General features: G+C 39.3%; 1 protein-coding gene across 12 annotated transcripts in view; it reads right to left on the bottom strand.

The window, feature by feature from the left end:
* Positions 1-26,634, bottom strand: part of CCDC192 (coiled-coil domain containing 192) — a 239,292-nt gene that overhangs the window by 116,349 nt on the left and 96,309 nt on the right. The gene's annotated exons all lie outside the window — the stretch shown is intronic.

The following is a 26,634-nucleotide window of genomic DNA, read 5'->3' as shown; positions in this document are numbered from 1 at the left end:
CAAACCTTTTCTAAGTGATTATCCATTCTTAGTCAATACTCCTTAAAACTCTTCAAGAAAACACTTGATGAAGATACCTTAGTTTTTTGTTTTCTAAGAGTATCAAAATCTGGTCAAAATGTTTGACAGCGCTATTGTGGCATTCCAGTTTAGGTATCCAGATTATCTTAAAGATGAAGTTTGTGTGCTTGAACAACTACCAACCTAGTCTTCTCCCATATTAAAAACTTTTAATCCCTTTCATTGCTTCTCTCGAAACAACCATGTTTGGATTCAAGTATTTGTCACCATTTATCTTAGCACAGGAGGTGAAAAATAGGCTACTTCCTAAGGAGCTCTGTGACTTCCTGAATATTCTCTTTTCTAAGACAGAGTGACCCTCAGGAGCCTGAGGAGAGAAGGCAAGGCACGCTGAGGTGATCCTACATCCTACACAGCCCACAGGGCTCCCATGCTCCAGCAATCACAATGGATTTTTAAACAGAGATTCTGACTTCTTCTTGATCTATGAGGCAATTTCTAAATTTAATGATATCCAAAATCTTCCCAGCTGTATCTCTATCCTTGGGTCTGTGAAATTCCATGCAAAAAGTGCTCAGAAAGCACTCCATTCAGTGAAAGATTTGGGGAGTTTTGGAAATACTCAAACAAAATCTGTTTAATTTATATAAACCCCCAGTGAGAAAAGCATTAAGAATGGAAGTTTAGAAATAAAATTTTTCCACATTATTTCACAGGTTCTGTTTCCTTACTGAATGTTGCCTGTTGCTTTTATAAATAATATTGCTTCCAGCTGGCACGCTTAAACAGGATCCATTCAAATGGATTTCATGGGACATTGAGCAATTCCGGTACCTTTCTCAATCAAAACTAAAGGTTACATTATTCTCACTATCCTTTTTCTTTCCTTTCTAACAGCTAAGAAAGAAGTTGTTGATATTATTGTTAGTGTCTCAAGGAAACCCTAGCACAGCTGCTAATTGTTTTCTTAAGGGAAGCACATCTTTTAACCTTCATCCTGTCCTTGAAGATAGGCTCCTTTAGGCCTAATATTTCCCTAAGGGCAAGCAGTAGTAATAGAAGTTTTTGGCCTTTCATTAGTTTGCTCTCATTTCTTCCCTGAGTGTGCTTCATGGTTAGAAACCTTGCTATTGGGTGGAGGTGCACACACAGCTGATGTGGCCTCTGGTTGGCCTGTTGTGCTAGGTGACATGAGGACTGCACATTTTGGAAAAGCCCATGATTTCCATCAGCAAAGAAAAAATTGGTCAGTTGGCAACTAAAGGTCCAATTAATAATGATTCTTTTGTGTAGGCACAGTTGGAACAGAAAGCCTTTCACCAATTTTAATAACACTTCTGAAACACGATTGTAGAGAGGCACTAAGGAAAATCCTTTGACCTCTTTGAGGCCTACAAGAAGGACTCTCAGGGTGACCCTAGGGTGACTCTGGAGGTCAGAGAGGGAATGAAGCTTTGAGGACAGCTCTTTCCAATGAGAACAGTCCCACCTGTTAAATGGTTTTTTAGATATAAGGCAGAAACTCCAACAAGGCTTGAAAATAGAAATTTATTGGCTGGCACAGGGGAAAGCTGGCCTAGTAGAGTTTAGCCACCTTTAATTCATAGGTGGAGAAAGGGTAGTTCATTAATAAAATAGTCTTCAGTGTGGGAAATTGAATAAGTAAAATCAGTGGTGAGAGAAGAATATGTTAAGAATCTATTAAAATGTGACACCCACTCATGTGGCATAATGGAGACTTCTGGATGATCTCAAGGGCAAATAGATCAACCTGGCACTCAACAATCAAAAGCAGAGGGATTCTCTCTGACCCAAGACCTGGGCAGATGGTAGAGGAAAGAGGCGAGTTGTAAACAGCTCCAGGCTCTGTCAACATCACCTGTACCCACAGATTTGAAAAGACAGACTTGACCCGTACAAAGTGTGGGAGAGACACCTGTACAATGAGATTACTGTCGCTGCACTATTGCTGTCAGCAAGTACTCAGAGGAGAAGCACAAATCAATAAAACCCCATGAGAGATGCTTTTGGGGAGTAGCAGGTTTGCCTGGGCTGACCTCTTGCGATGCAGAGCTGATAGGCAGGGTTATCTTCATCAGAGAGTAATGTGGTGTTTTTGTGGATTTGGGGCGTTTCTTGAGGAGCGTTGAGAGGGCCCTGGTTCTTTCTCTCCCTGGAAACCTTGTCTTAAGACCTGGAACCACAAGAAGATATCCAGCCTACAAGGCAGACATGGTCTAACCCTGAAGCTAGGTGTCACTCACTGGGCCTCAGGGGCCTGAGGACTTGGGCAGAGCCTCCAACCCTGCAGCAACAGCACTTCACGCTTGAGGGCCATTTTATCCGTTATCCTTTGGAAATCATAGACTGCAGAGACCTGTGCCCTGAAATCTTTCCTAGGACCCCTAAAGGAATGATCTTTGTCCTTCCTGGAGCCTCTGAGGGAGCGTCCTTCCACAGTTGCTCCTAGAGCTCTCTTCCTGACTCCCTGAACATCACTGCTCTGACATCCACTCACCAGTGAGGACTTCCTGACCACATCATGGCAAAGAATTGCACACCCTCTCCCAGAACCCCTCTCCCTTTTCATAGTCTGTTTTTCTTTTTCTTTTTAGCCATTTAACCATCTGATATTTCATATATTTACAAGTTTATTTGCTTATTGTCTTTTTTTTAACCCCACTAGGACATAAGTTCTTTGAGGATAGAGATTTAGTCTATTTTGCTTACTGCTATGTCCTGCCATAGGCATCCTGTAAATATTTTAGAAAGGAATGAATGAGGTTTTAAGCAATGCTGTTAACTGTTTCTAATCTCTCTGTTTCCTAAGACCCATGGGCAGATTGAACCCCAAAAGGGATGAGAAATAGAAAAGGCTTTCTTCAGAGGACACAGCCTGAAAGCAGCCATGGTCCTGAGCCTCAGCAGTGTATGAAGGGACAATGTGAAAGGCCCTTCGCTCTGAGAAGGGCAAACAGTTTTCAGTGTTTTCTGATTACGTGTCTAAGGCAGGGACCTACCAAGCCCAGAATGTTGTCCCTGGAGTTGCAGTGGCAAGTTCCTGTTTCTTAGGCAAAAAGCATGAAGACAACTAATTAAAAGTAGCGGAGGAAAATGCCAGAGTTCAGTAGTTACTAACCTGTGTTTACATTTTAATTTCTTTAAATCTTCCCTTTATTGTCCCTTGATTTAACTTTTTTAGCCAATAGAGCTTGTGAGATATTTACAGTTAACTTCATAATTCAGTTGTGTGGGAAGATTCATAGTTGGCTGGATGTTATGTTAGCCCTTCTGTTGCACACTTTCTGGGTACCACCTTCTATCTCAGGGTCTTTATGGCAGTTATAGTTATGCTGCCATGGAAGAAATAGTCACCTACTAGGAAAGGGTCTTCAAACATCATTGGGTCTAAGGACCACCTGAGGAGGTACTTGATCTCCCAGGTTCCCTTTTTTTCTATAACTCTGAATTCCAGAGGCCAGGGACAATAGGTTCTGAGCTGGGCTTTAAGACTTCCTGCAGGATGCCTGGGCAAACTCTTAGCTTCAACATTGGTAAAATGGAGACAAGCGCATAAAGTTCACAAAAGCTTAGTTGCCAGATTGGGAGCTACATTAAAGATCCCTAAAGTATTTAAAAGGGACTCATGGGATCCTTAGAAAGTTGAATTCTCCAGTCTCTTGTCAACTTTGGATCAAGGCAGAGGTCTGGGATGACTTTTTGGATTTCCTGAAAAAGAGGCTGTCCCCTAGATGAGTTTCTCCACCAACAACAGGATACTTTATATAAATCATAGCACCTTCTATTGTTGACAACATAACCTCTGTCAGTGGCAGCCTGAAGCCAGCTCATTTAGATTTGTGAAAGCCAGTTGTTAAAATTTCAGGAAATGTGAACTGGTTGATCTAACATCAGTAGCTCAAAAAAGGCCATGTCGAAAGGATGCATTTAAACCACAGAAATAGGCAAACACTATAAATCATCCACCTTCCACCAAAGCTGGTTGTTAAACATTTACCAGCACACCACTAGCTGTTAGTCATCACTCAATGTTACTATGAATTCTGCCTGCCTGAGCTTCCAGTGTGTGTGTATATGTGTGTGTGTACATGTAGTGTGTGGATACTATAGGGATGGGAGGAAAAAATGATGTTTGAAAAGGACTAGCTAGATGGAGACCAGAGAGCATGGGAAGATGGAAAGTGAGATCTCGAACTTAATGAGACATTTTTATATTAAAATATATTTAGATTAAATTAATCCTTGGTAGACATTTCACTAGTTTACGATTATATCATTTAAAGTCATGTTGTAAGTATGTCTGACAAACTGATAAAGGAAACAGATGATACATATATTTGAAAAGTAATACATAGAGAAGATCACATTTTTGTAAAAACAAACAAAAAATCAACTTAAAAAAAATAACATGTATATATGTGTTTTTCTATGTTATAGAGTGTAGAAAGTATGTATCGTTAACATAGGGAGTGAGAAAGTAGGAAGGAGAAGGAAGACATTTTAAAATTTATTTATTTTAGATACATATATTTTTTGAGATGGAGTCTCACTCTGTCGCCCAGGCTGGAGTGCAGTGGTGTGATTTCAGCTCTCCTCAACCTCTGCATCATGGGTTCAAGCGATTCTCCTGCCTCAGCCTTCCTGAGTAGCTGGGATTACAGGCATGTGCCACCATGCCCAGTTCATTTTGTATTTTTAGTAGAGGCGAGGTTTCTCCATGTTGGTTAGGCTGGTCGTGAACTCCTGACCCCAGGTGATCCACCCGCCTCGGCCTCCCAAAGTGCTGGGATTACAGGCGTGAGCCACCACACCCAGCCGACATTTTAAAATTTATATGCCTTTATATTATTGACCTTCTGGCCAAATATTCATTGGCTATATTTTGTGGTTGCAGAGCAAAGGCTGAGTAAAATTGTTTTAAAGAATAACCTATTTAGAAATGTAATAAGAATGAAATGTCATAGATGTACAGAAAAAGTTCTAAGGGAAATTATCTTTGTTCAGTCTCACACACATAATTCACAGCATTATCTGCTCAAAATAAGAACATTTAAAATAACACAATCAGTAAGAGTATGAAGATGAAATGCTAAGGTTAAGTTTCAATATTAGAGATGTACGTGTGTGAGAGAGTGTGTGTGCGTGTGTGCTTTAAAATACTTTGTGAAAACAAACAAGGATAAAGATAATCCCTGAGAATGGAAACTAAGGCTGCCTGTGCAAGTGCAAGCACCTTATAGACCATGGACTATTCATTTGTGCAGAGGAGCAGGAGTCTAAACCTCCTTCTGCCTAAAGTATGACAAAGATGATTCTCTAACCTTGGACCTGCTATTGAATCTCCCTGTAAATTGTTTTATAGGGATCGTGGTGGTGGTCTAAAGAAAGAGCAAACTTCTTCATGAAAGGATTTCAGAATCTATGGTGCAATCTATAAAATAGATTCATTTTAGAAGTAAAGACATCTAAAAAGAAACAACCATCAGAGGGTTTGGCTCCCATGCTATCTTTCACTGTGGCATTAAATGTTTGCTAAGATGTAAACTTCTTTCATTTTAGGTCTTTAAAGTCACATGATGGAAGTGACCACCCAGACTCAAAAAAGATAACATATATTATCACATCACTGACTCCACCCTGCCAGATAAAGGCAACCTCCCTACAATCTCAAATATTCCTGTGGAAATAACATGGTTATTTACCCTACCTGAGAACCGCCTGTATTTGTATGGCAATCTGACTGGGGAGAGAGTAAGAATACAGAGTCAGGAACCTAGAGCAGAGTCTGTTGACATAATTATGTGGTGCCTACCCAAGCCCTGAAGTTCTTTTGGGGATAAGAAAGAAGCAGGCATCTCTTGAGGGAAAGTCGTTGTTAGCGCGCTTCCTAGTAGTTGCCTTAGCGTGTACCCTCCTTGCTTTCAATGGTGGCTTAATTTAGGGACAGTAGGGGGTCTTTATCTGGAGCCATGGGTTTCAGGGACTTCCGGAAAAGTGACATTGAAATGGATATGGGTAGACATGTATGAAACAGTTTACAAATAATGAAAGCTAGGATCCCTTTCAACAGTTAATAATCTCACAGGAAGAGCCCAGCACTGCTAGGTTTTCTTTTTCTACTATGAATCCATTATGTGGGGTATTAAGGAGTTGTTGCCTTTCCTCAAATGAAACAAAGCAAGAAGATGTCATGACCTGAAAGTCCCAGCATTGCCAACTCAAGTTGGTTTCTGAGGAAACTTCCAATGGCTGTAGCCAGCTATAAAATATGTGACATGCCTTTTGGGATTTTCCTTACCAGTCCTTTCCCCTAGCTAACATCCAGGCTCTTTCAACTCTCCTTGCCTTTGTACAGGCTACTTCCTCTGCCTAGATCACTCCCACCCCCATCTTCCCTTGGACAGTTCCTCTCCCTAATTTAATACTCAGCTCAGGTATCACTGGCATACCTGATGGCTTCTTGGAGCAGTCTCCAGCTCCACCCTGGGTTAGGGATGGTTCCTCTGAATTCTCATAGTAATTTTTGACAGCCACGATCATTCCACTTGTCATAATGTGCTATAAGACCTATGTATGGGGTCTCTATGTAATCTCTTCTTGATAGCAGTAATTCCAAACTTTGGTTGCACATTAGAATGACTTGAGGAAATGTTAAAAGTCCCCATGTCTTGTTTGTACTCCAAATCAATAGAATTTTGGATGTCTAGGAGTAGAACCCAGGATTCGTTTTTTAAAAAAAATGTTTCCCAGTTGACTTCAATGGTGGCCAAGGTTGAAAACCTCTGCATTAGATGACAAAGTCCTAGAGACTCAGTCTTTAGTATGTCAACCCAATGCATAAGACTGATGTTAAAATTTTGCTAAATTAATGGATTTATATATTCAAATTCAAGTATTTTAGACTCTTATCAAGTGACATTAAGAGGTAGCAATTTATTTATTCCAGAGTGCAAGCAGGTTATAAGCAAAAAAATATGTAAATATCATGTTGATTAAAAATCACTACGCCCATTGATTTTAGAGCAGTGATTTGGGAAAAAGCTATGCTGGGTTTTTTCATATACTTTATTCTGAAGACTCTTCTGATAGTAATTTGTACTATTTTTACGGATATTTTCTAAAGCAAGGTCATGAACTTTGAAGAATTGTGGATTTGTATGACTACTTCTACAATGTCATAGCTTAGGAGATTTACACATGTAAGGACTAGATGCAATGTTTCTAAAAGCGTGGTTCAGAGATCAGCTGCATCCAAATAAAAATACATGTTTCCAGCCCTCATCCTAGATATGCATTTAGATTCTTTGGGAAATAATTCAAGAATCTGTTTTCATTTTTATTTTTTATTGAGATATAGCAGTCATCCTTTTAAAGTGTACAATTCAGCAATATTAGTATATTCACAAAGTTGTGCAACTATCACTACGGAGTCCAGAACATTTCATAAATACAAAAATAAATTCATATCCATTAGCAGTCACTCCCTCACTCCTTATCCATCTCACCCCCTCAGGCCAATGGCAACCAGTACCTATTCTGGACATTTTCAATCAATGGAATCTTACAATATGTGGAGTTTTGTTTTTGGCTTCTTTCACTTAACACAGTATTTTCAATGTTTGTCCATGTTGTAGTATGAACCAGAATTCCTTTTTATGGATAAATAATATTCCATTAGTTGAATATTTTACATTTTGTTTATCCATTCATCAATTGCTGGACATTTGAGTTGTTACCAGTTTTTTGCTATTGTAAATAATGTTGCCATGAACATTTTTGTGCAAGCTTTTGTGTGGACATATTTCCATTCTCTGCAGTATATACCTAGGAACAGAACTGCTGGGTCATATTTTAACTCTTCTACCTGTATTTTAAATAGGGCTTTCAGGTGAACCTAAGACTCACTAAATTTGAGAATCACTTTATTAGGGTGTCACTATTTCCTCCAAGGCACTGTACCTGTAAGCCACCAACTGCCAACAGGTGTGACATTGCACCCGGTAATAGGTGGAAAAGAAAGACTATCACAGCATCCAATCAATTATGATTCATAAGAAAAATGTTAACAATATGAATAACTAATAATATCACATTATCACCTTTGTTTGACAAATTTAAATCCAGATATATTGAAGGACAAGGTTTAAAGAAACAAATAGCATGGAATAAGTCAATCATTAAGAACTCTAATATTTTTCCAGCCTACAGTTGAACTTGCCTTGATTTTCTTTTATCTGAGACCCACAAACTTACTGGGTGTGATGGAACTATAGCATTCTTTTTGCCTGCCAACCATCTTTGAACACTTTTCCTAAGCTTGGTTATTTCCCCACCTTGAGACCTCACTTTCTCAAAGCAGAAGCCTCCCTCGCATCCTCAGTGCAAGGCTTGAAACATTTATGCCAGAATTCAGATAAGAATAGCTGCTATGTGCCCTCTGTTCACAGCAGAAACACCCTGTTTAGAAGCAAAAGTTCTAGTGGAGGCTTCCAGTGCACAGAGCCAGAGGTACCAGCTAGAACTATACAGCAGTGGGAAGCTACCTGGGGAAGTTCTGTGGTGTGATTTGACCATTGTTTCAGCTTCCATTTCCAAATCTGGTTCTCTGGCTCTCCTGGAGAGTGAGAGTTAGCCATGGCCTTCACTTAATACCTATTCTGCTTAAACTGGTATTTCTGTAAAACAAGAACATGACTGATATCACAGGACTCTACCTTAGAAGCCCCACTAAAGCTAAACTAAGTACAAGCTTATCCCAAATTTGCTTATTAGCTTTAGGGTCCTAGCAAATCTCTGTCTGCCTCCTTTGCAGAAAATCCCCCCTTTTCATGGTTCAATGAGCAAATTCCCTCTAAAAAGCTTTACTGATGCAATTTGAACCCTTTGTAATGTTTAATGCTAATTATAAAATATTTATCCACACAACAGTATGTTGATTTCTAAGTCACTCTCTCCAGAACACTAACTCCAAATCATGATTTCTTTGCCAAGTCCATCATAAGCCCCTCCCCTCCTCATTACTTTTCTCTAACACATATTAATGTATCTCAACTTCTTTAAAGTACATTGTCTAATAGCTTTATCTAACCAATGATGGATGAAACCTTTTAGAGACAAAATATGTGATTTTTGTACTTTTTATATACATACTGTATATTTAATAACACCTGATCCCAAATATAATCAGTCATGGATTTTGACAAATTCTCTTTCTTGTACATCTCTCTCTTTTATTTTTATTTTTTTTTTCAGACAGAGTCTCGCTCTGTTGCCCAGGCTGGAGTGCAATGGTGCAACCTACTCTCACTGCAAGCTCCGCCTCCCAGGTTCATGCCATTCTCCTGCCTCAGCCTCCTGAGGAGCTGGGACTACAGGTGCCCGCCACCATGCCTGGCTAATTTTTTTGTATTTTTAGTAGAGACGGGATTTCACTTGTTAGCCAGGATGGTTTTGATCTCCTGACCTCGTGACCCACCCGTCTCAGCCTCCCAAAGTGCTGGGATTACAGGTGTGAGCCGCCATAGCCAGCCCATACATCTCTCTTTAAAGAAACTCCTTAGACTCCTGTGGGCAATCTGGAAGGCTTAGAGAAGATTGTTTCTGTGAAGCTGAAGGTAGATTCCATGCAGGAACTCTGTGAATTTATAGAAATCATGTAAAACCTGATTTTCCCCACCCCCTATCATCCCCAAATGTGCCAATGGACAGACCCAGCCTCAAGATTCCAGGTTTTCAGTCTCTTTGATCACTTGCTCCTAAATGAAATCCAGCAAGAGAGAGGAAGAATTTTACTTGCTGTTCTGACGTTTCACCATCTTCCTCAGATTTAGTTTGCTCTGCTATGCGGGAGTCAACAGAAAATGGCACACAAATATCCATCGACTCTTTCTAAAATATGTTAAAGTTGATGTGTACAATAGCTCCCAGGTCACACAGTCTATTAATACACCACACAGATCTGAAAATATGCCCATGAACCTACAGTTTCAGATAGAGAAACACCAGCCTAGAGTCTTACTACTGAGCATTTTTAAGGCTACACATGGTCATTGCTGAAAGAGAGAGATCCTTCTGTCATAATATTTATTCATGAGAGGTGCAAAGAATTATATTTTGAGGCCAGAAATTTTCCCAACACATACTGTCTTGAAAATAAAAATAAAAAAAACCCATCAGAGAAAACTAATTAAAAAATATTTTTAAAAATTCGCCATACTGAAGATGTTGAAAACAACTGTTTACCCTCAACAATGTTTAAGACAACACAGGTACGTAGGACATGAATGGGAGAACAGTGGGAGCTGTGCAGCTAGAATTTCATTGGCACAAATTTCCAAACATGTCAGACTTGAAACTAACCAGCAAGGGATTGCTTTGCTGGAAAGTCATTCTAAAGTCTAAATTCTTATTCTAAGATCCAGGGCTGAAAGGCAAAGTAAATTCCTCGGGCAACACAGTTTTGGAGAAGTCATAGAAAGATCTCCCAAAATGTTACTGAGTCTTTTCCCAACTAAGCTTTTAGCTATTCCAATTAACTAAAAACTACACATTTATAAGCATTAAACATGCTACTGTTTAGGCTAAAATCTCAACCCTCCATTTCCATTCAGTGAAGCTTTTATCCACAACAATCACTTTAACTCAACATGGCAGCCTTGCAAGGGTTACCATGGCAGAGTTCTTTGGTTACTTTGGTTACCTCCTGAGCTCCACACTCTGGGGAAGTGTGTTTTATGCGGGAAAGAGCATTGAGGGGGAAACATGCCCATGGGCTCAAACTGGACATAACTTGTTTTTAATGCTTAATGCAAACATTTAGCTGTATTCTTATTAGCAATTCCACAAAGAAGAATAACGCCTCCTATTCTGATTTCCGACTATTCCCTCTACTGAACTTCTAGTCTCACTGTTCACATTGTTCCTGCTCCCACTCCTGCCCTTACTGCCGTCTGCATTCTCCCCTACTCCTGAAGCAGCCTCCCTGTTTGACCCTCCAAACCTCCTCCTGCTTTTCCTTTTAATCCTTCCTCTAAACCAGTTCTTCTGTGAGGACAGACAATAGCAATTCACAACCAAGGCTCCCTGCACCCACTAAGCCTGAAGGATGAGAAACTGGCTTGTGAGGATCAGTAAAAATAGTTGAAGAATGAATAATTAATAACTATTTATTTTGGTTTTACATTCCTTTGCCTCTTCTTGGATTTTGTGATTTACTGGTATCCTTTCTATGAGAAGCTCAGGTCCTTCTTAGTTCCTATAACACAATATTGTCATGAGTTTTTAATGGAAAAAGTTTAAGAAGTGTAGAGTTACTATTTTAGTTTTTCTTTGTTTTTTAAGATGATTCATATTTAAACCATTTGTGGACTCTGACCTGGCTATCCTTGCAGAAATCACATCTGCTTGAACAAGTCTGTCTGAATCATTTTTTTAAATATGGTCACTGAGTATTGTTACAGATTCTGAGACTATGACAAAACTTTTCAGTCATAAAGGCTCAAGCAAACTCTTCCAGGTCGCTTTTTACTCTCTGTAGTCTCCCAGTGGGATTTATGTCAGCCCTCAGTAAATGGCACATAAAAGAAAGGGAAGAGATTGGGCAAAACATAGAATTATTTATATTTGAAACACTACAAATGATAAAAAACTGCAGATGAGCAGTTACTTAAATTTTAAATAAAATTTAAAGCTAGAAACAATTTCCTTTTTTATTTTGCAAAAGAGGGTATTGATATCCTCAATGATTTTTAGGAAACTATACAAAAATTTACTTGTTTAAATTTTCAAAAATTCTGAGTTTTTTCATTCAATTTCCTTGAGGGTGCTTCTAGAGGAATTCCTGACAAGAGAATTTGAGAGTGGAAAGGCTAAAGCAGAAAAAGAACAACATAATGAAATAGGGACAGTTTAAGTCCCATCCTGGGCCCCCGCAATGAGGAAGGTGAACAGTAACGTCAAAAGGGCCTCATGGAAAGGTGTGTGCCATCAGGCCCTTCTCCGCCCTGCACGGGCTCCCACTCTAAAGGGACACAAATGTCTCCAGGAACATGCATCCAAAAATGGATGTCAAAGAAACGGTAAAATCAGCTGCATTTGATTTAGCACTGAGCACAGGAAATATGCATCATAAAAATTCCCAGTTGGGGCATTTGGTTATGGGGTCAAGCAAGAGTTAGAGATAAACAGGTAGGAGGGCATTCTCCAGGAAGCTGAGAAAGTAAAGGTTAGGGCAGCAAAGGTGGAGGAAAAAGAGTGTGGTCAGAATTGCCTTGAAACATCAAAGATTGTCTTTTTCAGTTGCAAAACTCGTAGGCAGTAGTTTTCCATTCCCCATGGCATTGACCTCTGCCTAAAGCAATCACTGTGTTCTTACTCAAGTGAAGGTGAGCAGAAACGCCCCGTACTAATTCCTCCTTTGGCAGAAACAAAACAGTCTCCTACATGCTCTCCTCGTGCACAGAAAGAATGAGTGAGTAATATCTTGGGCTCAACAGGGACATGTATTTTTTTTGAAGACAGTGAAATAATTAAGAGTTAAAATCAATAAAATGGAATTTGGTACCAAAAAATATATGCTTTTAAACACTTAGATAAATGTCAAAGCATATGTAGCAAATGAGGGTCAGGACAAGGCAACAATAGCAGCAGCACCGATGCACTGATAATCACCATCAACATTAATGAGGGCTGGCTATATCCCAGGACCACTTTCAGCTCTTCACCAGTGTCATCCCATTTAATTCTCACAATAATCCTGTTGAGGTAGGTTCTACCATTATTCCATTTTACAGATAATCACGATGCTGAACATTCAGAGCATTCTCTCACAAAGAATGTGGTTAAAACTTACCACTGAGCAAAACATGGAAATGTATGCTGGTTTTGTTGTTTTATTTTTTTGTTTTGTTTTATTGTTTAGCAAGCACTTACATAAAATTGATTGTGTTGTAGGTACCAGTCTAAGGATTTTATAAAAATTAACACATTTAACCCTCATGACAAATCGGTGAGCTAGATACATTTAGTATCCCCATTTTGCAGTCGTGGAAATTAAGCCTCAGGATCAAGCAATCTACTCAGACACTCAGCTAGTAACTGGTAGAGCTGGGCTCTAAACCAAAGCAGTCTGTCTTGAATGTTCAGAGGGGAAAATGTTCTATACATGCAGTTTATACTCAAGAATTTCTTAAATATTTAGTCAACTCATCCAATTTACTGGGGCAGGGAGCAGTGTGTATGGAGGGTGTGTATAGTGTGAGGAAAGGCTGGGGAGAGGAGAGACAGGCATTTATTGAGTCTCCCTTTTCTTCTCAGACCTTGCCAATGACTCTATCACGTATCATGATTATTGGTGTAGGTACTCACATTTCCTCTTATGTATGTTACCACCTGGTAAATCTGATGATAATAAACTTATCACTGGGGAGTAAAAGATATCTAACAGGTGAAAGAGTAGGCAAAGTCAATTTCAGTGCTAAGAACTAATGCTTACAGCTTTGATTTTATTTTACCTAATAATTTTAGTATTTCTTCACATTCGCGAACAAAATAAATAAAAATATATCACATTTTGACTCAACTATCTAAGCACATATTTCTGTCTAAGCATTTCTGTTTAAGCCTTCCTATCTAAGCATTACTAAGTACACAACCCTCTAAAAAAAATCCCTTAAGTTTCAAGTAAGTTCAGCCTTAAAACATTAACTTCCTCATAAAGAGGAATTGCTGCTACTACATTACCAACACTACCCCCAACTCCTATGCAAGGAGAGGAAATTAACTTTTGTGGTAGAGTTTGAGCATCTGGAAAGCCTTTGGTTGGGAAACCTGGTCTCATTAATAAAACAACCTGAAAATGCCCCAACAAGGGAGGGAATGGAGATTGGTGCTTTGAAAAAGAAAAGGAAGTAGAAAAACCTAAGGGGAGGAAGTTGCTTCAGAATTTAGAGCAGATTAAGTATTGGGGGTTCTTAAGACAGCAGAGAGCGTACTCCACTTGTACACAGGTCCTTTGGGTAATAAGACCTGAAATAGGCAATTATATGTAAAGAGGCCTGATGCTGAGTGTTGTATATAGACCAGGAGCTGCCATAAACCCTCTGTTAAAGCTTAGCACTGAATAAAAAGAGCCACAAGGCTCTGAATGGGCCCATAGGCATGGACATGGAGCAGAGGGAAGGAAAGTCACAACCCACTAGAAGTTAGTGGCCCCAACTTTTGGCAAGTAAAGTTACTGGGGTACTTCTGCAAATCCCAGGAGGGAGAGAGGACCACCCTTCCTCCCAAATGACCGAAACTGAACTTTCTGCTAACACATGACACATGGAGCCTGAGTCAGATTTGATTTTATAAGAAACTGCCCTGTGAAGCTTATTACTGTGTTTACTGTCAGGTTATTAGTGAGGACATTTATTATTCTATTAGGTAGTATGCCTTCCTGCACCAGTAATGTTGCTGCTTCCATTGAGTGCTGGGCTTGATTTTATTCCATGGATGCGCTTTTGTTTTTATAAATGATTATTTTGACCATCAGAAAGACTACAGCCAACTTTTGCCTTACCTCTAACAAGTGAGTATTTTATGTTAGGGCTGCTTAACAAAAATCCATATTCCCCTCTCCTTTCTGGGTATACAGCTAGACTACCCTTTTTAGCATTCCTTGTAATTAATGTGGTCTCATGACTGAGTTCTAACCAATGCACCACTTCCACGTATGACCAGTTAGAAGTTTTCCAAGCCCACACCTCAACAATCTCTTCTTTTTTGGCCAATTGGGATAGAGATGACCCCAAAATGACCTTGGATCCTACATGCTGAGCACAGCAGAGGCTCCAACAGTTTTTATCACAGAATGACACTAAATAACAATGAATGGGCAGAGTCTGCCCACCAGCAAGTCCCACAATGGACTGTTATTTGAATGAGAAAGAAATGAACTTCTATTGTGGTAAGCACTGAAATTCTGGGATCTATGTGTTACAAAAGCTAGCATTATCTAACTAGCAAACTTAAAGTGGCTGAAACAACCACCACAATACCTAATTCTCCTTCACTTATTCCTGGCCTTTTTTGGAGAACATCTTTCAAATTGTAGAACAGATGTAAGAAAATAGCAGCCTGAATGTAAAATCCAGTGTAAGGCTCATATTTAGGCTATGAATAAATGTATTTTGTTTGCCACACAGAGCAATCTGTTTTATTCAAATCAGTTGAAAACATTTACAAATGAGAAGATTTCACACCAAAAATCTGGATTTTCATTGTCTGAAAAATTAGTGATCTTGGGCTTTATTCTCCTTTTTATGTGAGTCAGGCACCCTCCAGACCCATATGACTGGTTCTGACCATCTTCCCTCTTCTACATTACTTACTTGGCCTTCGACTGCAGTAGACTTTGCCAGCTGGATTATCATAAATAGCTGGGGATTAAAACTATATGCAATACTAGCTAGCCTAGAATTACAATAAGGAAAGATTAACTATTTACATGTTATGTCCTTGGCTTCTTTTGATGGAAATTACAGAAACAGCCAAATAAAACCAATTATTACATTTGCTGGTCTGATATGTTCATGAGTGTTCCCCTCACTATGTCTTTCAATATTCCCTATATGAAATTCAACATAGAATCTCATTTTAGGCTTAACTCAACAGAAATGAATGGTAGCATCCCCCCCAACACACTAATTATTTATTTGATCATTTTCCTTGATCTGCCTTTGGCTGTTAGAAAGATAAAAGCCATATTTATGTTTCAGCTATATTGCATGGGAAGTTAGAACTCACATATGTGTATTCTATTTTTTTTCCTGATATTTCTATTTTATTCAAATATATATTCTCAATTATGGCTCTTTAAGTGCTTTTTAAAAATACAACTATTTCACACATTTGCATCTTATTAACAATCTCAGATCCTTTTTGAACTTAGACTATAAATAAATAAATATGGTTAAATTAAACATTATAGTTAATATTTAATGACAGTGTAAAATTGTATCAAGAGAACAGCAAAAGTTTAACATTCATAAAGTAACAGGCTGTATCCCCTTGAGATGCAAATTTTTATTTGATTTTCTTTCTTTTTGAAAATAAGATAAAATTACAAATAAATCTCTTAGTATCTTTTTTGGACGATTTGCTATAGAGAGACACACTTAACTGCTGTTACTTTGCTCATTTTTAAAAATCAACATTAAATCCAGGTATATGGCATTTATACATTCTCTCACTTACTCCATTCTCATTCATTGAACAAGGTATTTACTGAGCACCTCCTGTGTGTCAAGAACTGTATATGAATAAAGCCAAGTCCCAGAACCTGGGGAACTCAACTAATGGAGTAGAATAAAGGCAAAAAAGAGATCCATGGAATATGCACAAGGAGAGGTTGGCTTCTTACTGAGAAGTCAAGAAAGGCTTGCCCTTTAGGGGAGATGAGTGCCAGTTGTTGAAAGTAAGTAGTGGATGGAGCAGAGGGAAAGACTCACTCTGCAAAGGGATGGAGGCCTGAACCTAGAGGAATTCTTAGTGAATTCCAAGTCCTCAAACGAGCACCATCACTGGGTGTCAACTAGCAGTAGAAGGTAGCGGGAGAGTATCAGGAGACCTATGGGCAGCCACTGAGGGTTTTAAGTGAGAATTATGTAACTGAATCCACAGTCCATGAAACTGACTCTGGAAGAACCACTTAGGGTCAATATGGATCTGACTACTTCCCTTAGGATTCATTGATTTACTTTGAGACTGTACATTTCAGAAAGGATTTAGTGTAGCTTGAAAAAAAAGGTAGATATACTAAGTGAGAAGCCACTAAAATAAGAACTCAAAAGATGTGATAAAGAGAATTTAAGGGCAGAGAAGTAAAATGGGGCAAGAGGGAAGGTTCACACAATTCATGCCCTAACATAAAATACTCATTTGTTAGAGGTAAGGCGAAAGTTGGCTGTAGTCTTTCTGATGGTCAAAATAACCATTTATAAAAACAAAAATGCATCCATGGAATAAAATCAAGCCCAGCGCTCAGTGGAAGCAGCAACATTACTGGTGCAGGAAGGCATACTACCTAATAGAATAATAAATGTCCTCAATAATAACCTGACAGTAAACACAGTAATAAGCTTCACAGGGCAGTTTCTTATAAAATCCTCCCACAGTACGTCATGAACATCAGACTACCCCCTCCTGCCTGCCATTCAATAAAGTAGCTCTAGGGCACCTTGCTGAAGTCTAGGAATGTGGCTCTCTGCTGATCTCACTTAATTCAGGAAGGATTTTAAGTTACATATCTGAAAATAAGGACTATATTTAGATAGTCCTGCTTCTTTTCACCTAAGCTTTTTAAAGCTAAGCATTGAGCTCAAATATCGACTCCTGATCAGCCCAGGAGTGGAGTGAAGCACAGAGCTCTCTGGTTGAAATGGCCAGCTGGGTTAGGGGTAGAACAGAAATCTTTTGGAAATGATTTTCTTGATATTTCTTGAATTGAAGAACTACCCACATTCATTTATCCACTCATCCTTTGATTGACTGAAGGACTGATTGAACAACTGATTGACTGAACAAATACTTAATTGACAATCTAGTACTCAGAAGGCACAGTGAACTAGACCCAGGCTCTACCCCCAAGAAGCTTATAATCTAATGGTGGATAAAGAAAGAAACAGACAATTAAATGACAAGCAGATAGCTTTGGGAAAGGCTTAAGAAGACATTGACCATGGAAAGAAATGTGCCGAGAAAGTACTGACCTGACAGGACATGACAGGATTCTCTTCAGAAAGCAATTTTGTCTTTAATTAATAAACTTCCTAGTATTGTCTATAAAATAAATAGGCAGCTAACATGAGGTGCCTTATTCCATAGAATTATAAACTATAATCTCATAAACTGGGGAACAGTTACTGTAAGGGATAACTCAATTTTAGAATAACCTGTTAATAGATTTATTGAACACTTACTATGTTCTGGCACTCTGCTAACCACTTCATGTGAATTATCTCACTTCACAACTTTACGTAACCTCCAAAAAACTATATGGGGCTAAGTAATGTCAGCTTCTTTCTACTGACAGAAGGAACAGAAGTAGAGTAACCTTTGCCAGGTCCACAGATGGTATCAGAGCTGAGGTCTAGCCCAGTGTCTCACTCCCCAATGCTGTCTTCCTCTCTGGCAGGGATTAGGCCGCAGGACCAGAGGACTTTTAAAACCCCTCATGATTCGCATAAATAGCTCATCTTTCTGCTCTCTATAATGGAGAGGTATGCCTCTCAGTCTTCTTAAAGTAATTTAAATTTTTAAGAACAATAAAAATATGATTTCTATTAGATTCTTACAGTAATAGTAAAGGATGAGTTCTGGGTGAGCCTCAATGGCTGGAGTTTTATATAGAGAAATGTGGCTCAGGATCAGAGTGGGGAAGAGCTGAGACTGTCTTACATTGTTCCCATCCGATTTTTCAGCAAGTAAATAGGGATTGTAACTGATCTGTATTTGAATATGAGAACCTCTAAAATCTGTATATTCCTTTGATAGAATGTTGATGTGAGAAGTCTAAGCTTATTAAGTAAGAAACTGAAATACATGTTTGAAGAAATGCGTGGTTAGCTAATAGGTATTTATAAAAAATGTCTACGCCCTGTGTCCAATCAAATAGCTAAGCAAAGACTAGACACCTGCAACGGTAGCTGGGGGCGGTAGGGTGGGGGGTGTGGCAGGAATTGGTACAGGTGGTTGTTCAGTTTAAACTTATTCATCGTCTATAGAAAATGAGGAAACAGGACTTAGATCTGATCAGAAAGGGGAAAATAAGCCTCCTGGGTGCCAGCCAGGGTCCTTGTGTGATGTAATGAACCCAACTCAAACATTAGGTCTCTGTCCCTCAGTGTGTCCTCACTAGTAAAGCCAACAACTAATTAGTGGCTTCTAGAGCAATTTATTGTGCATTGGCTATTTGGTGGGGAAAAGAAAAGATAATATCCTGGTGGGGCTCCAAAGTTTCATTTTGAATATTGCTTCAATGCGTTACAGATTAGCTTCTTAACCACATCTAACTGGGCAGGATCTGTTAGTGGATCATAGTTCAGAGAGTGCTGATTCTATCTAGGTTAGGAGCAACCTGCTGATGTGAAGAGAGCTCAGAACCCCTCCTCTTCTGAGCGCACAGAGAAGCTTGGCAGCAAGACCCACTAATGGAATTTGAAAGCTTCTGCTATTCTTCTATGATATTCAATCTTTCCAGATTCAGCATGGGAAAGATGAGCCATGGGGTAATGACATAAAGGGTTAAAATGAGGGGCTAAATAATCATCCAGTGCAGATAATCTAACCAAAGAAGGTGGGATACAGAGAGGGGCTCATTTTAATATAATGAACACATGCAACAAAAATATTTCCTAGATTTATCTCACATGCAATCATTCAGTACCACCTGCTTCTGTTCATAAATAATCACTGAGGAATGTTCCATTTAGATTAATGTACATGTGGCACTAAGAGAATGGCCCGCAGGAAAGGAATTTCCCTATTCCTCATTGGCACAGGTAGAACTCTATTATAACCACTGATTAACTCTGCCATGTGGTCTGAGTCTGCCATATGATATTTTAAAATAAAGTTAAAAGATCATTAAAATTAATTTATTGCCACAGCTGGCATCTGTGCATTGGCATATATATGCAGCAAAAATACTGACTTAGAAGTGAAATTCGGCTTTAAAAACAGGAGCTTTACATCAGAACATCTACACGCAAGTCTGCTGTGCTACATACCAGCTATTTGCTGTGAGCAGGGATTTTTGTGTCTTTGACTCTCACTTTCTTCTGCTGATCAAGGAGGGGGAGTGATATCTACTTCATAGGATTATTGTGAAATATAAATGACATGATGTGGGTGGGAGCATTTAGGAAGCTGTATATTGTTATGTGACTCTAAGGTGTGATTAACTGCTGTCACTTTACAGTAGAATTAGTCATGACAAGCATCAGGAATGAAGTGATGCTTCTAGAGCACATAGAAGTGTGGGACTGGGAGAGGGAGGGCAGGAAGATCGTTCTCATTTGACTCACCAGTTGAACAGACATGTGTTGTGTGCTACTGCATGTCTCCATGTCTCAATCCCCGGCACTGCACTAGGAATCAGGCTGGAGAGGTATCCCAGCACAAGGAGCATGAGGCCCGTGAGGCCAGCCTCATCTGTGAAATGCTGGTCGGGGACAATGTCCTGGTCAGAAAGTAAGGGTCTATGCTGGAAGTGCTAGGGGCTTCACTGGACAGTGCAGTACACCTCAGATTTTACCACCATCACAATCACCTACAGGACTTGTAAAACTCTGCATCCTTTTCCCAGAATTTCAGACTTTAGCAGAATGAGATGAGTCCTCAAAATCTGCATTTCAAAGTCCTAGGTGATGCTAATGTTTCTGGTTCAGGAGCCACATTTTCAGAACTACTGGGATAAAAGAAGAATGATGGGTTCTCAGTTATAAACAACTGATTCTGATTCTGGCTAGCTTAAAGAAAAAGAGAATTTATTGGAGGGTTTGGGGGTACCTCCTAAAATCAGTAGGAAACACACTCAGAAATGGAGAGGATCTAGGACAGTTCTGGTTCAAGCAGCATAAGCTACTTCACCATGATGCCTGGGTATCCCTGGTAGAATGTACCAGCTCCAACTGTTTTTTCTCTCTTTCCTCACCTGAATTTAATGTGCTGAGTCCCTGGAGAGAGAGTCCAGTTGGCACATGTCCACTCCTCAGCTAGTAGCTGACAGAGTTCTTTGAATGACAGGCCCTGGAAGATTGCACATAGTGGGAGAGATGCAATTGTAGAGAATATCTGGGTATTATTGCCAAAGGTGTGTCAGTGGATGCTTAGGCAGCAAAACAAAACAGAACCAAACCCAAGGAAACAGGCCATGTCCTCTGTTATGGTAAGAACAAGTCAATTAGCAGAGGGCCTGGAATTCTAGGAGGGAGCAGTCCGCTCTTACAGATTCTTAATTTAGAAAGTAAAATGGCAGTTTATAGCTTCTTTGTAGGAGGAAAGGAAGTTAAACCAGCATTTTGGGAGACCCCCGTCCTGGGTGCCTCCCATGCCCTGAGTTCCTCACCCTGAGCTTCCAGGCCTCAGTGGTTCAGGATCTTCTGGTTTCCAAAATTCACTCATCTGTCCTACACTTTTAAGCATGCTGTACGATTCATTTGAAGGATTCCTTCATCTGGATGTTTTTAACTGTTTAGTTTATTATGAAATGTATCAAACATACAGGACAGTATAGAGAATAACATCACACTTGAGTGCCTACCACCCAATTACCCAGATTTCCATTTTGAAATAAACCCATTGAATATTATAGAGCTTTTGGTCCTGGTCAGGTCTTGTGGGTGGCTGGAAACTGAGAGATGGGATGGCCGTTGGGATGGAGGTAAAGAGGGGAGGCAGACATCTGGAGTACTGCAGATATTCAGGTCATCCACGAAGGAGTGAACAGATGGGGCTAAGCACTTATACCCGCTAATACTAAACACAGGCAACATATGGATTCCATAATTTGGAAGGCATTAATTTTAAAAGGAATTTTTTATTAAGATACCTAGTCCTGACTCAAATCGCCCTAACAAGAACAGATATCTTTAAGTAATTATAAACATTCATTTCAAATATTTGTTTTATCCCATGTAGGTCTTTAAGCGGATAAGTAATCATGGGAGGGAGTGATAAAGATGCCCAGGGCAGCTTAGCCCGGTGATGGCTCAGCCTGGGTGCCCACATGTGCACTGGGAGGGGTAACCCTTAATAATTTCTTTAGAAGTCTAAGTTGTGACTAGGCACAGTAAATTTAATGGGGTGAGAATTTAATCTTCAAAGTATTAGCAAATGATAACTCTGAAATGTTAAGGCTTTCATCTCCTCTCCATTTCATAGCTATCAATTTAATTAAACAATCATATTATTCAACTATTGAGTTCTAGAGCAGTGAACTCTGAATAAAAGCAAGCCAAGACATTACGTTGTTAATTTTCATGTTAAGACCATGTTTCCTTTAGAAACTCTTTTTATTTCACGTGAAATAGGAATTTCCAGCAACTGTGTTTTCTTTCTCTGCTATTTTTTTCCTTCTGTTTCCACTCTAAGAGATCCTTACCTTTTGTCACTTGCATGTTATATTTGAAAGAGTCAGCCTCATTAAATTAATGCCTGATGTAATATTGACATCTTCACAGAATACAATTCTTTGTCATAAAGTGATTTTCCCTGATATATAAAGGGTGCTCCTACAAATGCCAAAATAATTTTATTTTTAATTTAGCCACTTTAACAATTCATTTCAATAAAATCTGTACAAGACATCGAGCCAGACACTGTGGGAGGAATAAAGATAAACAGACATACTTCCTCCAGGAACTTGCAGTCTTGAGAAAGAGGCTGCATCAGATCATTCTCTTGTGGGGCATAGTGTGACAAATGACTGAAAAGAGGCACAGAGAAGTGCTGTGAACGCACCAAAGAAGGAGAGATTACTTCTGGACTGATAGGGAGAACTTCGTGGAAAAAACAATCTTGATAAAGAATGGGGAAAGTCTGGCAAACTCAATGGCAGGGACAGGCATTCAGGGTAGCAAGGAGCTACAAGCAAAGCTGCTAGGGCAGAGATGCAGGGTGCACTTGGGGGTCGCAGATGGAGATGGAGATGAGGCAGGAAAGGGGGTCAGGTCCCCATTGTCAACATGATAAATGCCATGGTCAGGAGGTTAGACTTTATTCTGGGATAATGGACAAGCAATGTCTCACTCAAGGCTTTGGAACTAAGGAAATGACATGATCAGAATAAAATTCAATGCAATTCAGCAAAATGTATTGAGTAGCTACAATGCACCCAGCCCTGTACTGGGTGTAGTGCATTCAGAGACACATTCTTAGTGCTGCCTTCAATGTCCCTAGAGTCTAGTGGGTAACGGATATATAAACAGATAATGTCAACAAAGTGTAGTGTATTGAGCTCTGTTAAATAAGCAGGAGGCCATTGGCCTGAGGTTCTCTCCCTATTTTGAGTTCCTACTTAACAAACTGAAACCTAACTTAGGAGTATATTTTTTGTAACAAATAGTTGGGTTTCAGCCAGTCACAAACAGCTGAGCTTCAGCCAATCACAGGCACCCAACTGATCCAACCACACCCAAATAAGGCAAACACCTAACTTAGGTAGCCAACAGATAATGTCTTTACTTTGCTTCTGTGTTTTGCCTATAAAAGCTTGCTACTCATGCTGCTGGATGGAGCTTTCTCAACCTCTTCTGGTTCTGATTTCTACCCAATTCAGGAATCATTCTTTGCTCACATGAACTCTGTTAAATTTAATTTGTCTACAATGTTTACTTTAACAGCTCAAATAGATGTATCTAAAGGAGGCTGTGGGGACCCACAGAAAATAATCTGGGGACTAAGGGAGAAGTTGGTACATAACTTGAGTCTTGCAAGGACAGAAAAGAGTTATTTGAATGAAGAGAAGAGAGAAGGATATTCCAGTTTAAGAGAATACTGTGAGCAAAATCACAGAACATCAAATAATACTGGATATGTAAAGAAAGATAGCAGCTCCATTCTAGTAGTAGGCTCAGTGTAAGGCAGAGAGAGGGGAGTGAGGGAGAAGAGAAGATGAGGGGCAGGGACTATGCTTTGGAAACTTCACTCAGGATGGAGGCACGGAAACCAGGAGACTCTTATAGAGGTCAGGTCCCACAGGTGTTACATTAAGGAGGCACACTCCAAACAGAAATTCCAAACTTTCCATGGGACTCTCACTTAAAGGGGTTCAAGTACATATTTTGCCAGGCAACTCTTATTAATACTTCAAGTTATTTCCTAATCTTCAGCATCCTCAGAACTCTCATCTCTTATTCCAGAAGAACCCTCACCCCATCTTCAGTGTTCCATTCCTACCACCCTGGTTTTTAAATCCCCTTTCTCTTCTCTGCCACGCCAGCAGATCACACTCACCCTGTGAGTGTTACACTTTTGCTCTGTTTGGTTTTCTGCACCCATTCCAAATCTTTACACACAGATTTTTATCCTCTCTCTTCTCTCAATAGGGCTTGATGGTGCCAGAGCAAGTGGGCTACCTTGTAACGGGGAGTGGGGTTGTGGGGGGCTCTGAATTCACTCACATATGTTAACAATTTGGGGCCAGTTACAATAATTAAAATATAAGACGATTAAAAAGAGCTAGAGAAGTGGCAGTATAATGGAATAGAAGACATGGAAGTGAGATAACTTGTAGAAACATATTCAGGGCCTGACAACTAACCAAAGTAGGACAGAGGCAGAGAGAGGTAGGATTTTAAAACTGCTTTGTAGTTTGAATCTAGAAAAAATAACAGTAGTGTGATATTATCCACCATGGCTGGGGGATACGAATAGAGAAACATATTTAAGAGATAATAACAGAAGATGATAAATTTGGCTTTGTATATTCTTAGCCTGAGGTGTCAGCAAGATATTCAGGTCATATTTAAGAACCAGAGTACTTCAGTTTGATGCCGTGTACCAGCCATCTCTAAACCTGTGTGTTACAAATCACCATTCATAATCAAACTCTTTTGGAAAAATGACCAACAACAGCCTGTTCTTGGAGATTGTTTGTACATGGATAACTCTTGCAGGAAATAAACCCATTTAACTTTGTTTCCAACAGTCTTCCTACTTTTTGTTGTTGTTGTTTTTTTTTTTTTTTTTTTTTTTTTCAGAATACCTCTTAGCATCCTATGGAATGTTTTTTTCAGGGACAATGTTCTAAGAAGTGCTCATTAAAACACTACAGATCTCTAATCAGGGGAGGCTTAAGATAGAAGGAACTTGCTGTGGGAGAAGGCAGTTTGTCTGCATGGGAGTGAGAGTTGAAGCATTATGAACTGCTGAATCACCAAAAGTGAACAGAAAGAGAAAAGGAGGTTGGAGATAGAACCTTTATAAACACCATTTGATACCTCAAATGGCACATAGAGAATATAATTTGGAGAGACAGCAAGTTGTAATAGCAAAATCATGGGTTTCAGAGTGTGACGAGTGATCTAATCTTTTTAAGATTCCATTTTCTTTCTGAAAATTAATGACTACCTTGCTGGGTTGTGTTGAGATTTAAAATAGATATGTGAAATATCTTCCACATAGAAAATACATAATCCACTTTCAATAAATACTATCGTTAATACTGTTTTCATTTAAGTTTTTCTTGACACATTGAAGCAAAACTTTCATGAATACACTGTTGTATTGAAACCTGAATGTTGGACAATTACATATGAGAAATCTCAGTCACTGGTATCAATACCCTAATACAGGGAAGCAATTCTAGTTCAGACAAGTCTCAAGCAGTAACAGCATGGTACAGGAATAGCATCCATAGTAACTAGGCAGTGAAAGAAGACACTATAGGAATTTCCCTAAGGCACCAGGAACTATGGCTTTTTTCATCTGTTTTTCACAAAGAGATGCTGGAAGCTAATATCTGAGCTTTAGTGAATACATTTGCCCTCCATATAAAATTCTGAGCTAAAAGCTTCTTCCATGTGAATGACTGTGGGTATCAAATGTCGTGACGGGACATCCTCTGACAATAGTCATTATCTGGCACCCTCAGGGGGAGACCAGGGGAAAGGCATCTGCAACAAAATACTGGCTAATGAGACATATTTCTGTCTAAATATGTCACAATGCTACAAATGCAAGCCTTAGTCATTTTCAATATTGGACAATTGAACATACAAGCCCAAAAAAGATTCTGAATTTAGAGTTAAAAGCTCTGCTAACTGCCACAGCAGATTAGCTTTTCTCTTCTCTAGCACAAAAATGGGGACAATTACCAATATTTTACCCAAGTCAGTTCATTCCAAACCCCAAAGGAATGGTCACCAGAATGTATTATCTTGCAGTCTTTTGGAGGGCAACCTCATAGGTCTCAGGTCTGTCTGAGGGGCCTGGTGTAGTTAAGATTGGCCATTAACATGACTGGTCAGTATCTTTAATCAAGAAGTCATTCCATAGCAGCCAAGATGTGGATGAAAAAGATGACCAAAAGGATGGCAATCAAGTCTTTGAGGAGATGTCTAAGGCATTTGGGTTGTTCAGATCCTTGGGAAGGAATAGTGGCAGGGTGACAGATTTATGGTCATGGACACACAGGGTATTGTGGCAGGAGATGCTTATGTGTTGTTCTCAGAGTAAACATAGGCTAGTGTGCAAATGAAATTTGCCATAGAAATTCATGGGGTCTCTCTCAGGCGAGTACTTGCAGGAGAAAATGGGCAACTATGTAGTCTGATTGGTTTATATGGTCACTTGCCTAAAATCAATATTAATGTTAATAATATATATTAAATATATGTAATATATATATGTATGTATAAAAAATGTATAAAAAATAATGTCACTTAACGTGTGTCCTGAAGACTGGCAGCATCAGCATTGTCTGAGTCTAGAATCACCAAAAAGTGCAAATTCCCAGGCCCCAACCTAGGCATGCAGGAAACAGAATCTGAGTAATTTGTTTTAAGAAGCTATCAGGTGATTCTTACATACAGTAAAGTTTAAGAAGAA

This window comes from Homo sapiens, chromosome 5 (assembly GCF_000001405.40).
Source record: "Homo sapiens chromosome 5, GRCh38.p14 Primary Assembly".
Classification (NCBI taxonomy): Eukaryota; Metazoa; Chordata; class Mammalia; order Primates; family Hominidae; genus Homo; species Homo sapiens.
This window is presented reverse-complemented; position numbering and strand designations above follow the sequence as displayed.